General features: G+C 50.8%; 7 annotated features.

Annotated features, from left to right (window-relative positions):
• Positions 2282–3027: an enhancer, noted in NCBI's record as "NANOG-H3K27ac-H3K4me1 hESC enhancer chr19:18029877-18030622 (GRCh37/hg19 assembly coordinates)". NCBI's record gives its function as "activates a minimal SCP1, AML or CMV promoter by ChIP-STARR-seq in naive H9 embryonic stem cells {active_cell/tissue: H9 hESC(naive)}" and the evidence as "EXISTENCE:reporter gene assay evidence [ECO:0000049][PMID:30033119]".
• Positions 3028–3773: an enhancer, noted in NCBI's record as "H3K27ac hESC enhancer chr19:18030623-18031368 (GRCh37/hg19 assembly coordinates)". NCBI's record gives its function as "activates a minimal SCP1, AML or CMV promoter by ChIP-STARR-seq in naive H9 embryonic stem cells {active_cell/tissue: H9 hESC(naive)}" and the evidence as "EXISTENCE:reporter gene assay evidence [ECO:0000049][PMID:30033119]".
• Positions 5528–6029: an enhancer, noted in NCBI's record as "H3K27ac hESC enhancer chr19:18033123-18033624 (GRCh37/hg19 assembly coordinates)". NCBI's record gives its function as "activates a minimal SCP1, AML or CMV promoter by ChIP-STARR-seq in naive H9 embryonic stem cells {active_cell/tissue: H9 hESC(naive)}" and the evidence as "EXISTENCE:reporter gene assay evidence [ECO:0000049][PMID:30033119]".
• Positions 12349–12448: an enhancer, noted in NCBI's record as "active region_14289". NCBI's record gives its function as "activates an Ori minimal core promoter by ATAC-STARR-seq in GM12878 lymphoblastoid cells {active_cell/tissue: GM12878}" and the evidence as "EXISTENCE:reporter gene assay evidence [ECO:0000049][PMID:35858748]".
• Positions 13079–13148: an enhancer, noted in NCBI's record as "active region_14290". NCBI's record gives its function as "activates an Ori minimal core promoter by ATAC-STARR-seq in GM12878 lymphoblastoid cells {active_cell/tissue: GM12878}" and the evidence as "EXISTENCE:reporter gene assay evidence [ECO:0000049][PMID:35858748]".
• Positions 15307–15845: an enhancer, noted in NCBI's record as "H3K27ac hESC enhancer chr19:18042902-18043440 (GRCh37/hg19 assembly coordinates)". NCBI's record gives its function as "activates a minimal SCP1, AML or CMV promoter by ChIP-STARR-seq in naive H9 embryonic stem cells {active_cell/tissue: H9 hESC(naive)}" and the evidence as "EXISTENCE:reporter gene assay evidence [ECO:0000049][PMID:30033119]".
• Positions 15992–16051: an enhancer, noted in NCBI's record as "active region_14291". NCBI's record gives its function as "activates an Ori minimal core promoter by ATAC-STARR-seq in GM12878 lymphoblastoid cells {active_cell/tissue: GM12878}" and the evidence as "EXISTENCE:reporter gene assay evidence [ECO:0000049][PMID:35858748]".

A 16058-nucleotide genomic window follows, 5' to 3' on the forward strand; every position in this document is an offset into this window, starting at 1 on the left:
CTAAACATTTGTTTATTTGAGACAAGATGCCTGCGGGGGCCTCATGGCCAGGTCAGAGCTCACAGCTGGGGCAGAGGAGGAGAGGCTGCAGAAGGCTGGACCTGTAGGTTTGTCTCCAACTCTGAGACTCCAGGCGGGGAGTCCTGGGGTCAGAGCATGGACAGGGCTCATAGTGTTGGGTCACAGACTCAAGACTCTCCAGGTTTCCTCATAAAAAGGAAGGAAACAGCCGTGCGCAGTGGCTCACGCCTGTAATCCCAGCACTTTGGGAGGCAGAGGCAGGCAGATCACTTGACGTCAGGAGTTTGAGACCAGTCTGGCCAACAAGGCAAAACCCCATCTCTACAAAAAAAAAAAAAAAAAAAAAAACACAAAAATTAGCCAGGTGTGGTGGCACGCACCTGTAATCCCAGCTACTCAGGAGGCTGAGGCACAAGAATCACTTGAACCTGGAAGGTGGAGGTTAAAGTGAGCTGAGATCCCACCACTGCACTCCAGCCTGGGCAACAGAGTAAGACTGTCTCAAAAAAAAAAAAAAGAGAGAGAGAGAAAATCTAATGCCTGATGATCTGTTACTGTCTCCCATCACTCCCAGATGGGACTATCTAGTTGCAGAAAATAAAGCTCAGGGCTCCCACTGATTCTACATTATGGTCAGTTGTATTATTACAATGTAATAATAACAGAAATAGGCCAGGTGCAGTGGCTCATGCCTGTAATCCCAGCACTTTGGGAGGCCAAGGCAGGTGGATCACGAGGTCAGAAGTTCGAGACTAGCCTGGCCAATATGGTGAAACCCCGTCTCCACTAAAAATACAAAAATGGCTCCCTCTCCCTCTCCCCACCATCTCCCTCTCCCTCTCTCCACGGTCTCCCTCTGATGCCGAGCTGAAGCTGGACGGTACTGCTGCCTGATTCTCCTGCCTCAGCCTGCCGACTGCCTGCGATTGCAGGCGCGCGCCGCCACGCCTGACTGGTTTTCGTATTTTTTTTGGTGGAGACGGGGTTTCGCTGTGTTGGCTGGGCTGGTCTCCAGCTCCTAACCGCGAGTGATCTGCCAGCCTCGGCATCCTGAAGTGCCGGGATTGCAGACAGAGTCTCGTTCACTCCGTGCTCAATGGTGCCCAGGCTGGAGTGCAGTGGCGTGATCTCGGCTCGCTACAACCTTCACCTCCCAGCAGCCTGCCTTGGCCTCCCAAAGTGCCGAGATTGCAGCCTCTGCCCGGCCGCCACCCCGTCTGGGAAGTGAGGAGCGTCTCTGCCCGGCCGCCCATCGTCTGGGATGTGAGAAGCCCCTCTGCCTGGCTACCCAGTCTGGAAAGTGAGGAGCGTCTCTGCCCAGCCGCCATCCCATCTAGGAAGTGAGGAGCGCCTCTTCCCGGCCGCCATCCCATATGGGAAGTGAGGAGCGTCTCTGCCCGGCCCCCCATCGTCTGAGATGTGGGGAGCACCTCTGCCCTGCCGCCCCGTCCGGGATGTGAGGAGCGTCTCTGCCCGGCCGCCCCATCTGAGAAGTGGGGAGACCCTCTGCCTGGCAACCGCCCCGTCTGAGAAGTGAGGAGCCCCTCCGCCCGGCAACCGCCCCGTCTGAGAAGTGAGAAGCCCCTCCGCCCAGCAGCCACCCCGTCTGGGAAGTGAGGAGCATCTCCGCCCGGCAGCCACCTCGTCCGGCAGGGAGGTGGGGGGGTCAGCCCCCCGCCCGGCCAGCCGCCCCGTCCGGGAGGGAGGTGGGGGGGGTCAGCCCCCCACCTGGCCAGCCGCCCCGTCCGGGAGGTGAGGGGCGCCTCTGCCCGGCCGCCCCTACTGGGAAGTGAGGAGCCCCTCTGCCCAGCCAGCCGCCCCGTCCAGGAGGGAGGTGGGGGGTCAGCCCCCCGCCCGGCCAGCCGCTCCGTCCGGGAGGGAGGTGGGGGGGTCAGCCCCCCACCCGGCTAGCCGCCCCGTCTGGGAAGTGAGGGGCGCCTCTGCCCGGCCGCCCCTACTGGGAAGTGAGGAGCCCCTCTGCCCGGCCAGCCGCCCCGTCCGGGAGGGAGGTGGGGGGGTCAGCCCCCCGCCCGGCCAGCTGCCCCATCTGGGAGGGAGATGGGGGGTCAGCCCCCGTCCCGGCCAGCCGCCCCGTTCGGGAGGTGAGGGGCGCCTCTGCCCGGCCGCCCCTACTGGGAAGTGAGGAGCCCCTCTGCCCGGCCACCACCCCGTCTGGGAGGTGTACCCAACAGCTCATTGAGAACGGGCCATGATGACAATGGCGGTTTTGTGGAATAGAAAAGGGGGGAAAGGTGGGGAAAAGATTGAGAAATCGGATGGTTGCCGTGTCTGTGTAGAAAGAGGTAGACATGGGAGACTTTTCATTTTGTTCTGTACTAAGAAAAATTCTTCTGCCTTGGGATCCTGTTGATCTGTGACCTTACCCCCAACCCTGTGCTATCTGAAACACGTGCTGTATCCACTCAGGGTTGAATGGATTAAGGGCGGTGCAAGATGTGCTTTGTTAAACAGATGCTTGAAGGCAGCATGCTCGTTAAGAGTCATCACCACTCCCTAATCTCAAGTACCCAGGAACGCAAACACTGCGGAAGGCCACAGGGTCCTCTGCCTAGGAAAACCAGAGACCTTTGTTCACTTGTTTATCTGCTGACCTTCCCTCCACTATTGTCCTGTGACTCTGCCAAATCCCCTTCTGTGAGAAACACCCAAGAATGATCAATTAAAAAATAAAAAAAAATAAAAAATAAAATACAAAAATGAGCTGGGCAGGGTGGCGGGCGCCTATAATCCTGGCTACTTGGGAGGCTGAGGCAGGAGAATCGCTTGAACCTGGGAGGCAGAGGTTGCAGTGAACCAAGATCGCAAATTTCCCTCCAGCCTGGTCAACAAGAGCGAAACTCTGTCTCGAAAAAACATATATATAATAATACTAAAGTGCACAGTAAATGTAATCTGCTTGAAACATTCTGAAACCATTCCCCTCCCTGCCTCCTGAGTAGCTGGGACTACAGGCACATGCAGCACACCCAGCTCATTTAAAAAAAAAATGATTTTTTTTTTTTTTTGGTAGAGATGGGGCTTTACTATGTTGTCCATGCTAGTCTTGAACTCCTAGCCTCAAGGGATCCTCCTGCCTTGGCCTCAGAAAGCACTGGATTCCAGGCCATAAGCCACCACTGTTTTTTTTTTTTTTTTTTTTGAGACGGAGTCTCACTCTGTCACCCAGGCTGGAGTGCAGTGGTGCGATCTCAGCTCACTGCAAACTCTGCTTCCTGGGTTGAAGCAATTCTCCTGCCTCAGCCTCCTGAGTAGCTGGAATAACAGGCATGCACCACTAATTTTTTGTATTTTTAGCAGAAACGGGGTTTCATCATGTTGGTCAGGCTGGCCTCAAACTCCTGACCTCAAGTGATCTGCCTGCCCTGGCCTCCCAAAGTGCTGGGATTACAAGTGTGAGCCACCACCGCCAGCCCTTTTGCTTATTTATCTAGCATTAAGAAATCCAGAACGAGGTAGCTTCACAAGTTTCTTCTTGGTTGTTTTGTTGTTGTTGTTTTTGTTGTTGTTTAGAGAGAGTCTCGCTCTGTTGCCTAGGCTGGAGTGCAGTGACGTGATCTCGGCTCACTGCAACCTCTGCCTCCTGGGCTCAAGCAATTCTCCTGCCTCAGCCTCCCGAGTAGCTGGGACTACAGGTGTGTGCCACCATGCCCGGGTAATTTTTGTATTTTTAGTGGAGATGGGGTTTCACCATGTTGTCCAGGCTGGTCTTGAACTCCTGACCTCAGGTGATCCAGCCACCTTGGCCACCCAAAGTGCTGGGATTATAGGTGTGAGCCACCACACCTGGTCCACATGTTTCTTCTTTACCTGCTCCATGATGCCACAGATTTTCTTTTAGGTTCTGCCATCTCTAGTGTGTTCCCTTTTTCCTCATGCTTGTTGCCTCTTGTTGCAGAATGGCTGCTGCAGCTCCAGACATCACATTCAAGGCAGAAACAAGAGGGTAAGGGGGAAAGCCAGCTGCATTTCCCTTTGATCAGATAAAGGCATAAAAATATTTCCTAGAAATTCCCATGGCATCCTTCCTCTTAGGGCTCATTGGTCAGAACTGGGTCCTGGGCCACCTCTACCTGCAGAGGCAGCTGGGAAACTGGAGAATAGAAAGCCATTGTCTTTTAAATCTAATTTCAGAAGTGATGGCTCCTTGCTTCTATTGCATAATATTGATTAAAAGGCAGTCAGTAAAGGCTGGGCGTGGTGGCTCACACCTGTAATCCCAGCACTTTGGGAAGCCAAGGCAGGCAGATCCCTTGAAGCCAGGAGTTCAAGACCAGCCTGGCCAACATGGTGAAACCCCATCTCCACTAAAAATACAAAAATTAGCCAGGTGTGGTGGTGGGCACCTGTAATCCCAGCTACTCACTCGGGAGGCTGAGGCAGGAGAATTGTTTGAACCCAGGAGGCAGAGGTTATAGTGAGCCAAGATCACCACTGCACTCCAGCCTGGGTGACAGAGTGAGACCCTGTCTCAAAAAAAAAAAAAAAAAAGGCAATCAGCTCGCATTCGAAGAGAGGGAATTCGAGAAAAGTCAGAATGCCAGGAGGTGGGGATCACTGCAAACCATCTTAAAGGCTTCCCCCATGGCCAAATGCACTGGCTCATGCCTGTAATCCTAGTGCTTTGGGAGTCTGAGGCAGGAGGATCGCTTGAGTTCAGGAGTTCAAGACCAGCCTGGGCAACGCAGAGTGACCCCATCCCTACCTCAAAAAAAAAAGAAAAAAAAGAAACATTTAGCTGGGCATTGTGGCCCATGCCTTTGGTCCCAGCTACTCGGGAGGCTAAGGCAGGAGGACTGCCTGAGCTCAGGAGTTTGAGGCTACGGTGAGCTGTGACAGTGCCAATGCACTCCAGCCTGGGCAACAAAGCAAGACTCTGTCTCAATAAACAAATAAATGAGTGAGCCACACAGTAATCCCTTAAGGGAAGGGGTTTTCTTTTTTTTCTTTTCTTTTTTTTTTTTTTTTTTTTTTTTTGAGACAGAGTCTCACTCTCTTGCCAGGTTGGAATGCAGAATGTACTGTGAGACAATACATTTCTGCAGTTTTTTTGTTTTTCTGCTTTTGGTTGTTGTTGTTGAGACAGTGTCTTGTTCTATCACCCAGGCAGGAGTGCAGTGGCACGATCTCGGCTCACTGCAACCTCCGCCTCCCGGGTTCAAGCAATTCTCCTGCCTCAGCCTCCCAAGTAACTAGGACTACAGGCATGCACCATCACATCCGGTTAATTTTTGTATTTTTAGTGGAGACGGGGTTTTACCATGTTGTCCAGGATGGTCTCAATCTCCTGACTTCGTGATCTGCCCACCTCGGCCTCCCAAAGTGCTGGGATTACAGGTATGAGCCACTGTGCCCGGCCAGGGAAGGGATTTTCTAAGGTCAGTTAAACAGTTCCTGCAGCTGCTGAGGCGTCCCTAAGAACACATTGACTATTATCACAACAAGGATAATCCCAATATTTGTTTCCAGTCTTGATGGGCTGGGCTTACTGATAGGGTTGTAATGATTTCAGCAGAAGCAGTTTGTGGACATAAGATTAAGATCCAATTTTGAAGGATGAAGGTTGAGATTAAGTATGTGAAGAAAATGTACATTCTAGGAGGGGCCTAAAGAAGGAAATCTATGACAGGAGGTTCCTGAGGCTGATGTAACCCAGCTCCACAAACTAGGTGGCTTAAAACAGCAGAAAAGGCCGGACATGATGGCATACACCTGTAATCCCAGCACTTTGGGAGGCCGAGGCAGGAGGATTGCTTGAGCCAAGGAGTTCAAGACCAACCTGGGCCACGTGGCGAAACCCCGTATCTAAAAAAATACAAAAAGTTAGCCAGGTATGATGGTGCACACCTGTAGTCCCGGCTACTAGGGAAGCTGAAATGGGAGGATTGCTTGAGTCCAGGAGGTGGAGGTTGCAGTGAGCTGAGATCGTGCCACTGCACTCCCGCCTGGGTGATAGAACAAGACACTGTCTCAACAACAACAATAACAAAAAGCAGAAAAACAAAAAACTGCAGAAATGTATTGTCTCACAGTTCTAGAGGCCAGAAGTCCGAAATCAAGGTGTGGGCAGTGCTGGTTCCTTCTGGAGACTCCTAGAGAGAATCCATCCCAGGCCTCTCTCCTGGCTTCAGCCATCCTTGGCAATTCCTTGGCTTGTGGCCTCATCTCTCCAGTCACTGCCTTCTTCATCACATGGCCCCATGTTCCAAATTCCCTCGTCTTTGTTTTTTGGTTTTTTATTTATTTATTATTTATTTATTTATGAGATGAAGTTTCGCTCTTGTTGCCTGGGCTGGAGTGCAATGGCGTGATCTTGGCTCACTGCAACCTCCGCCTCCCGGATTCCAGCAATTCTGACTCAGCCTTCCGAGTACCTGGGATTACAGGCTCGCGCCGCCACGCCCAGGTAATTTTTTGTATTTTTAGTAGAGATGGGGTTTCACCGTGTTGACCAGGTTGGTCTCGAACTCCTGACCTCAGGGTGCCTCTGCCTCTCAAAGTGCTGGGATTACAGGCACGAGCCACTGTGCCCGGCCTGATTTTTTATTTTTTAGACAGAGTCTCACTCTGTCACCCACGCTGGAGTGCAGTGGCATAATCATGGCTCATTGCAGCCTCAACCTCCTGGGCTCAAGCAATCCTCCCACCTCAGCCTCCTGAGTAGCTGGGACCACAACTATGCGCCATCACACTTGGCTATTTTTTTTTTTTTTTTTTTTTTGAGATGGAGTCTCACTCTGTCGCCCAGGCTGGAGTGCAGTAGCGTGATCTCGGCCCACTGCAACCTCCACCTCTCAGCTTCAAGTGATTCTCGTGCCTCAGCTTCCCAAGCAGCTGGGATTACAGGCGACCACCACCATGCTGGGCCAATTTTTGTATTTTTAGTAGAGACAGGGTTTCGCCAGGTTGGTCAGGCTGGTCTGAAACGCCAGACCTCAAGTGATCCGCCCACCCCAGCCTCCTAAAGTGCTGGGATTACAGGCGTGAGCCACAGTGCCCAGCCCCACACTTGGCTAATTTTTTAAATTTTTGTGTAGATGGGGTCTTGCCATGTTGCCCAGGCTGGCTTTATTTATTTTAAGCCCTTCTTTTTTGCCCAATTCATTTAACACTTTATTTATTATTTTTGAAATTATTCTTTCTATTTTTATTCATTTTTTTAGGAGACAGTGTCTCACTCTGTCACTCAGGCTGGAGTGCATTGGCATGATCAATGTTCACTGCAGCCTCAACCTTCTGGGCTCAAGTGATCCTCCTGCCTCAGCCTCCTGAATAGCTGAGACTACAGGTGCATGCCCCCATGCCTGGCTAATTTTTTTTTTGAGATGGAGTCTCGCTCTGTCGCTCAGGCTGGAGTGCAGTGGCACAATCTCGGCTCACTGCAAGCTCTGCCTCCCGGGTTCACGCCATTCTCCTGCCTTAGCCTCCCCAGTAGCTGGGACTACAGGCGCCCGCCACCACGCCTGGCTAATTTTTTGTATTTTTAGTAGAGACAGGGTTTCACCGTGTTAGCCAGGATGGTCTCGATCTCCTGACCTGTTGACCCGCCCGCCTTGGCTTCCCAAAGTGCTGGGATTACAGGCGTGAGCCACCGCGCCCAGCCCTGGCTAATTTTTAAAACTTTTTTTAGATAGAGACATGGTCTCTCTATGTTGCCCAGGCTGGTCTTGAACTCCAGAGATCAAGTGATCCTCTGGCTTTAGCCTCTCAAAGTGCTGGGATTACAGGCATGAGCCACTGTGCCTGGCTTTTTTGTAGAAATGGGGTCTTCTTGTGTTGCCCAGGCTGGTCTCAAACTTCTAGGCTCAAAGCAATCCTCCCTCCTTGGTCTTCCAAAGTGCTGGAATTACAAGTGTGAACTGCCATGCTTGACCCTAGACATTTCTTCTTCTTCGTCTTTGAGACAGAGTCTCACTCTATCACCCAGGCTGGAGTGCAATGGCACGATCTCAGCTCACTGCAAACCTCCGCCTCCTGGGTTCAAGCGATTCTCCTCCCTCAGCCTCCCAAGTAGCTGGGATTACAGGCACCACCACCACACCCAGCTAACTTTTGTATTTTTAGTAGAGACAGGGTTTCACCATGTTGATCAGGCTGGTCTCGAACTCCTGACCTCAGGTGATTTGCCTGCCTCAGCCTCCCAAAGTGCTGGGATTATAGGTGTGAGCCACCATGCCTGGCCATGACCCTGGACATTTTTTTTTTTTTTTTGAGACAGAGTCTCGCTCTGTCGCCCAGGCTGGAGTGCAATGGCGCAATCCCGGCTCACTGCAACCTCTGCTTCCCGGGTTCAAGAGATTCTCCTGCCTCAGCCTCCCGAGTAGCTGGGATTACAGGTGCCCGCCACCACGTCCAGCTAAGTTTTTTGTATTTTTAATATAGATGGGGTTTCACCAGGTTACCAGGCTGGTCTCAAACCCCTGACCTCAGGTGATCCACCCGCCTCGGCCTCCCAAAGTGCTGGGATTACAGGCGTGAGCCACCATGCCCGGCCTACCCTGGACATTTTTATAAATGGAATCAGACACTCTATGGGCTTTTGTGCCTGGCTTCTTTCACTCAGCCTCGTGTTTTCAGGGTTCATCCGTGCTGTGGGATGGATCAGTGCTTCATTCCTTTTTATGGCTGCATAGTATTCCATTTCGTGGATTGACCACAGTCTGTTGATCCATGCATCCTTTAAGGGAACAGCTGAATTGTTTCCACCTTTTGGCGATAGTGAACAATACTGCTATAAACGTGTGTGTCTTTTAGTCCTTTTTGAATAGTTAACTGGAGTGGATACTCCTTTTCTCTTTTTTTTTTTTGAGATGGGGTCTCACTCTGTCACCCAGGCTGGAGTGCAGTGGTGTGATCTCAGCTCACTGCAACTTCCACCTCCCAGGTTCAAGCAGTTCTCCTGCCTCAGACTCCCGAGTAGCTGGGACTGCAGGTATGCACCACCACACCTGGCTGAGTTTTGTATTTTTAGTAGAGACAGAGTTTCACTATATTGGTCAGGCTGGTCTCGAACTCTTGACCTCAGGTGATATACCTGCTTCGGCCTCCCAAAGTGCCAGGATTATAGGCGTGGGCCACCATGCCCAGCCATAAAGTGGACACTCCTATTCTGGACATAGAATGACAATGATTTTTCTGCACATAGAATGACAATGATTTTTCCACACATAGAATAACAGTGATTTTCCTTTTCTTTCTCTCTCTTTTTTTTAAATTGGAGACAGGGTCTCACTTTTGTCACCTAGGCTGGAGTGGTGTGACTGTATCTCACTGCAGTCACTCCTTTGGCCAGGGGATGGGGAGGTTTGGCCATGTCTGTGGTTTGGACAATGCTCTTATTTTCATCTGTGGTAAGACTCAATTACGGAAGGGTTTTGATTTTTGTCTGGTTTCATCCTGGACAGAGTGGCCCTGTTTGATGTGGTCATTCTGTGAAATCGTATATGTTCAACCAAAGAACTCCTCGGCTTCACTGTGACTACCAGGTCAACTCCCAGTTGACCAGAGCCTGGGGCCAATTTTTTCTTCTTTACTTTACATTCACCTTCTCGCCTTTGCATATGCTGTTCCTGCTGCTCAGAATGCCTTTCCCTCCCTGTCTTCACTCAGCTCTTTCCTTCTCAATTTTCAGAGTGCTCTTAAATGCCACCTCCTCTGAGAAGCCCTCTGTGATCACCCAGGCTGTGGGCCTCTATAACCCATTTCAGCACCAGACACATCTTTTGGTCACAGTAAGGATTTTTTTTTTTTTTTTGAGCGAGGGTCTCACTCTGTTGCTCAAGCTGGAGTGCATGCAGGCAGTGCAATGGTGGCTCACTGCAGTCTCCAACTCCTGGGCTCAAGTAATCCTCTTGAGTAGCTGGGAAGACGAGCTTGCCACCACGCCAGCTGATTTTTTTTTTATTTTTGTAGAGACAGGGGTCTCTCTATCTTGTCCAGGCAGGTCTCAAAACTCCTGGCCTCAAGTGATCTTCCCACTTTGGTCTCCCAAAGTGCTAGGATTACAGGCGTGAGCCACTGTGGCTGGCCTGTCATCTTTCAAGTTTCCCAAGTGAGGAGAAAAGGGATGGAGAAGGCCAAAAAAAAAAATAAGTTAGAAGAACAGTTCTTCCTATAGGTCTCAATATGTTGCCATGTTCCTATTGAAAGAAAGAAAGAGAAAGAGAGAAAGAAAAGGAAGGAAGGAGAGAGAGAGAGATCAGAAAGAAAAGAAAGGGAAAGGAAGGAAAGATGGAAGACAGGAAGGAAAGAGAAAGAAAGAAAAGAAAGAAAAGAAAAGAAAAGAAAAAGGGAAAGGAAGGAAGAAAAAAGAAAGAAAAAGAACGGAGATAAAGGGGGCTCTAGACAAACATAAAAATTGGATCTTCAAAAGATAATTAATTGGCCAGGTGCGGTGGCTCACGCCTGTAATCCCAGCACTTTGGGAGGCCAAGGCGGGCGGAGCACCTGAGGTCAGAAGTTCGAGACTAGCCTGGCCAACATGGCAAAAACCCGTCTCTACTAAAAATACAAAAATTAGTCAGGCATGGTGGCTCACACCTGTAGTCCCAGCACTTTGGGAGGCCAAGGTGGGAGGATCTCTTGAGCCCAGCAGTTCGAGACCAGCCTGGGCAACAGAGGGAGACCCTATCACAATTTTTTAAAAAACATTTCAAGTAGCCAGGTATGGTGGTACACACCTGTAGTCCCAGCTACTCGGGAGGCTGAGGCAGGAGGATCGTTTGAGCCTGGGAGGTCGAGGCTGCAGTGAGCTATGACTGCACTACTGCACTCCAGCCTGAGCAACAGAGTGAGACCCTGTCTCAAATAAATAAATAAATAAATAAATAACACAACAGATGATCGCCTCATGAGAATTTTGTCTTTCCGTTGTAAGTCTCCTCTCCAGTGGAAAAGTCTCACAGTGGCCACTCAAATTCTAAATTGTCCCCAGTGTGAGGTACCATTGGAGAGAGACATGTTTGGTTTTGGTTTTGTTTTTTTGAGACAGGATCTGGCTCTGTCACCTAGGTTGGAGTGCCGTATTGTGATCATGGTTCACTGCAACCTCTGCCTCCCGGGCTCAAGCGATTCTCCTGCCTCAGCCTCCCGAGTAGCTGGGACTACAGAAGCACAACACTGCGCACAGCTTCCTTCTAAGATTTTGAAATGGTGAAAAGTTGCCCAAAGGACAGTGGTCCAAGGAGATCTTTGGAATACTTTGGCCATCAACACTGACTCAAGGGTGACTTACTGAGTCTAGGCCCGTCCTCTCTTTATCGACGTTTCCCCCGATGGACCCACAGTGCAATCCCAGCACTTTGGGAGGTCGAGGCAGGAGGATCACTTGAGCCCAGGATTCGAGATCAGCCTGGGCAACATGGCGAGACCCTGTCTCTACAAAAAGTAGAAAAATTGGCTGGGTGCGGTGGCTCACACCTGTAATCCCAGCACTTTGGGAGGCCGAGATGGGCGGATCACAAGGTTGAGAGATCAAGACCATCCTGGCCAACATGGTGAAACGCTGTCTCTACTAAAAATACAAAAATTAGCTAGGCTCTGTGGTGAGGCCTGTAGTCCCAGCTACTTGGGAGGCTGAGGCAGGAGGATCACTTGAGCCCAGGATTCGAGATCAGCCTGGGCAACATGGTGAGACCCTGTCTCTACAAAAAGTAGAAAAATTGGCTGGGTGCGGTGGCTCACACCTGTAATCCCAGCACTTTGGGAGGCCGAGATGGGCGGATCACAAGGTTGAGAGATCAAGACCATCCTGGCCAACATGGTGAAACGCTGTCTCTACTAAAAATACAAAAATTAGCTGGGCTTTGTGGTGAGGCCTGTAGTCCCAGCTACTTGGGAGGCTGAGGCAGGAGGATCACTTGAGCCCAGGAGGTCGAGGCTGCAGTGAGCCAAGATTGCACCACTCCACTTTTACCTGGGCAACAAAGTGAGACCTTGATTTTAGACTTGAAGCCTCCAGGACTATGAGAGAATTGATTTGCATTGTTTCCTTTTTTTTTTTTGAGACAGAGTCTTGCTCTGTCTCCCAGGCTGCGGTGCAGTGGCACTATCTCGGCTCACTGCAACCTCTGCCCCCCAGGTTCAAGAGATTCTTCTGCCTCAGCCTCCTGAGTAGCTGGGATTACAGGCGTACACCACCATGTCCGGCTAATTTTTGTATTTTTAGTAGAGACGGGGTTTCACCATGTTGGTCAGGCTGGTCTCGATCTCCTGATCTCAGGAGATCCACCTGCCTTGGCCTTCCAAAGTGCTGGGATTACAGGCATGAGCCACCACGCTCAGCCAATTTCTGTTGTTTTCAAAACCACTAGTTTGTGGTCATTTGCTACTGTAGCCACCAGAAACTCATACAGCCCTGTACAAGAGACAGTCCACAGGAGGAGGTGTCGAGAGAGAAAACAATTTCACCAAGGAACAGAGTGGCTGATCAGAAAACCAAAAAGCCGTGGAGAAACTCATTCCTAGAATAGTAAACGAAATTAACCCTACACAGAAGGGCCCTAATGAGATCATAACTGAAGCTCCAGTCAGCATTAACTTACCTTCCAGCCACAGGCAGAATCACCTTAAGCAGATAGAGACACAAGGGTCTCAGATGTGCACACTATTTTTTTTTTTTTTGAGACAGAGTCTTGCTCTGTCACCCAGGCTGGAGTTCAGTGGTGCAGTCTCAGCTCACTGCAATCTCTGCCTCCCGGGTTCAAGCGATCCTCCTGCCTCAGCCTCCTGAGTAGCTGGGATTACAGGCACACACCACCATGCCCAGCTACTTTTTGTATTTTTGGTAGAGACGGGGTTTCACCCTGTTGGCCAGGCTGGTCTTCAACTCCTGACCTCAGATGATCTGCCTTCCTTGGCCTCCCCAAGTGCTGGGATTACAGGCGTGAGCCACCGTGCCTGACCTCAGATGGGTGCACTTTTGCTGAGTCCAGGGTACTGATTGGTGGCAGGGAAGGTCTCAGCCCAGTCTCAGTAGGACATCCAGTCCTGTTGATGTCAAATACCACCAGAAAAACAGCTGCAGTGAAACCCAGCTGGGTTTATGGATTAATGCATTGAAGGAAGACACACCAGAAGGGGTTCTGTTTATCTCAGAAAGAGAAAGTGAGAAGGAGCGTGTTACAGAACTAGGGCAACTGTGGGGTGATTCGAGGAGAGTTCAAGGGAGTGGGATTCTGCCCTGGATTGTATGCAAACAGCTAGTGGGACAATTCTCTAAGTATTTTAATAATCTCTTTTTTTTTTTTTGAGATGGAGTCTTGCTCTGTCCCCCAGGCTGGAGTACAGTGGTGTGTTCTCCGCTCACTGCAAGCTCTGCCTCCCGGGTTCACGCCATTCTCCTGCCTCAGCCTCCTGAGCAGCTGGGACTACAGGCGCCCACCACCACACCCGGCTAATTTTTTGTATTTTTAGTAGAGATGGGGTTTCACCGTGTTAGCCAGGATGGTCTCGATCTCCTGACCTCGTGATCTGCCTGCCTTGGCCTCCCAAAGTGCTGGGATTACAGGCGTGAGCCACCGCGCCCGGCCTTTAATAATCTTTTTACCTAGAAGGCGGGGGAACCTGCTGGGAATTGGCGAAAACTAGCAGTCACGCCCTTTGGCCAGGAGATGGGGAGGTTTGGCCATTTTTGTGGTTTGGACAATGCTCTTGTATTCACCTGTGCTAAGACTCGATTACGGAAGGGTTTTGTTTTTCTGCGGCCAAGTGTGACTGGTCTGAGTGTCCCTGTCTGATGTGGACATTCCGTGAAATTGGTTTGGTCAATCAAAAAACTCTACAGTTTAGCTGTGACTGCCAGGCCAACTGCTAGCTGACTGTGTGTGGTCCAGGGCTACTTTTATCTTCCTCACTTTATATTCACCTCCTCACCTTTGCATATACTGTTCCCTCTGCCCAGAACACCTTTCCCTCTCTTTTTCACTCAGCTCTTTCCTTCTCAAGCTTCAGAGCTCTCCTTAAATGCCACCACCTCTGAGAAGCCCTCTTTGATCACCCAGGCTGTGGGCCTCCACAACCCTATTTCAACCCCAGGCACATCTTTTAGTCACAATTACGATTATTATTTTATTGTTATTATTATTATTATTACTTTTGAGACAGAGTCTTACTCTGTCACCCAGGCTGCAGTGCAGTGGCGTGATCTCAGCTCACTGCAACCTCTGCCTCCCAGGTTCAAGCGATTCTCCTGCCTCAGCCTCCCAAGTAGCTGGGATTACAGGCGCATGCCACCACGCCTGGGTAATTTTTAGATGGGGTTTCACCATGTTAGCCAGGCTGGTCTTGAACTACTCACCAAGTGATCTGCCCGCCTCAGTCTCCTGAAGTGCTGGGATTACAGCTATAAGCCACCACGCCTGGCCTTTATTATTATTATTTATTTATTTATTTTGAGATGGAGTTGCACTCTGTAGCCCAGGCTGGAGTGCAATGGCACGATCTCGGCTCATTGCAATCTCTGCCTCCTGGGGTCAAGTGATTCTCCTGCCTCAGCCTCCCAAGTAGCTGGGATTACAGGCATGTGCCACCACGCCCAGCTAATTTTTGTGTTTTTAGTAGAAACAGGGTTTCACCATGTTGGTCAGACTGGTCTCAAACTCCTGACCTCAGGTGATCTGCCTGGCTCGGCCTCCCAAAGTGCTAGGATTACAGGCGTGAGCCACCATGCCTGGCCTTTATTAGTATTTTTTAAGAGAGGTTCCTTCACCCAGGCTGGCTGGAGTGCAGTGGCGCTATCATACCTCACTGCACCCTCCAACTTCTGGGCTCAAGTGATTCTCTTGAATGGGAGGATGAGCATGCCACCACGCCCAGCTAATGTTTTTATCTTCTGTCGAGATGGGGTCTCATAATGTTGCCCAGGCTGCTTTCAAACACCTGGCCTCAAGCGATCCTCCCACCTTAGCCTTCCAAAGGGTTGGGATCACAGGCATGTGCCACTGCGACCAGCCAGGATAATAATCTTTCATGTGATTTTCCGACTTTAAGCCCCCTGCACCCAGAGACCTTTCTGTCTCATGCCTGAAGGGAAGGAACTGGCCACGGAAAAACCTGGGAAATTCCTGGGGGAACTCCCTGAGGCAAGACTGCGCCTGGCAATTTGTAAGAAGGGGGCTGGTGCGACCTGAGCAGAGAGCTAATGGGAGGGTGAGGGAAGCCAAGGGAGATGGGGTGGGAGGTGGGAGGAGTCTTGCGGGACAATGGGAACCCAGGGGAGGCGTTAGAGCAGGGGAGGTGCATCGCGCACTGGGATTTAGGTCCCAGCAAGGTCGCTGGGGGGATGCCTTTTAGGGAATGGACTCTGTGGTCAACTACTCCTACCTGAACTGCCCCCAAAGCATTTGCTTTTCCCTCTCCACAGTCAGGACCAGTGTAACCTTAGACCCCTAATACTGCCATTTTTACTGTTGAGAACACCGAGAAGTAGTAAATGCAGAAAATCTAAAGTATAGTGCCTAAGACAAATTGGCGCCTCAAACCTAATTTCTAAATAAAATTAATAAATAATATTGCAGAAGTGGGGAGCAGGTCAGCAATCCAGGAAGAGGCACTGGCAGGAGCAAGAGACGGAATTTGAGCCTACTCGCGGTTATGAGCCTACTCGCGGTTACATTTTGGCCAAACTCAATTCCTGGTCTCTCTGAGCCTCGGTTTCCCTACCTGGACTGCGCGGTGTGTGTTAATTTCTCTGCCCCATTTATCTCCCCTCTCCTAGCCCCGCCCCAGCGTCACCAGTGGGACGCAGAGACTCAGGACTAGGAAAGCACTTTTAAAGCGTTAAGGGATTGCGAAGAGCTACGGAGAGGCTTCCTCAGGGCTATACTGGGTCCACCTCCCCTCATGGACCGCGGGCGCGCTCTGGCGGCCGGGCCGCTCCAGGCTGAAGCCGCCGGACCACGTGTGTAGTCGCAGCTGCCATCTTTCATCCGGGCATCGGCCATCTTGGTAAAGGCAATGTTCTAGATTTTCGCCTCTGCCCGCCCCTCCTGGTTCATCAACATATTAAATGAGCGTAGGGA

This window comes from Homo sapiens, chromosome 19, assembly GCF_000001405.40.
Source record: "Homo sapiens chromosome 19, GRCh38.p14 Primary Assembly".
In the NCBI taxonomy this organism is placed as follows: Eukaryota; Metazoa; Chordata; class Mammalia; order Primates; family Hominidae; genus Homo; species Homo sapiens.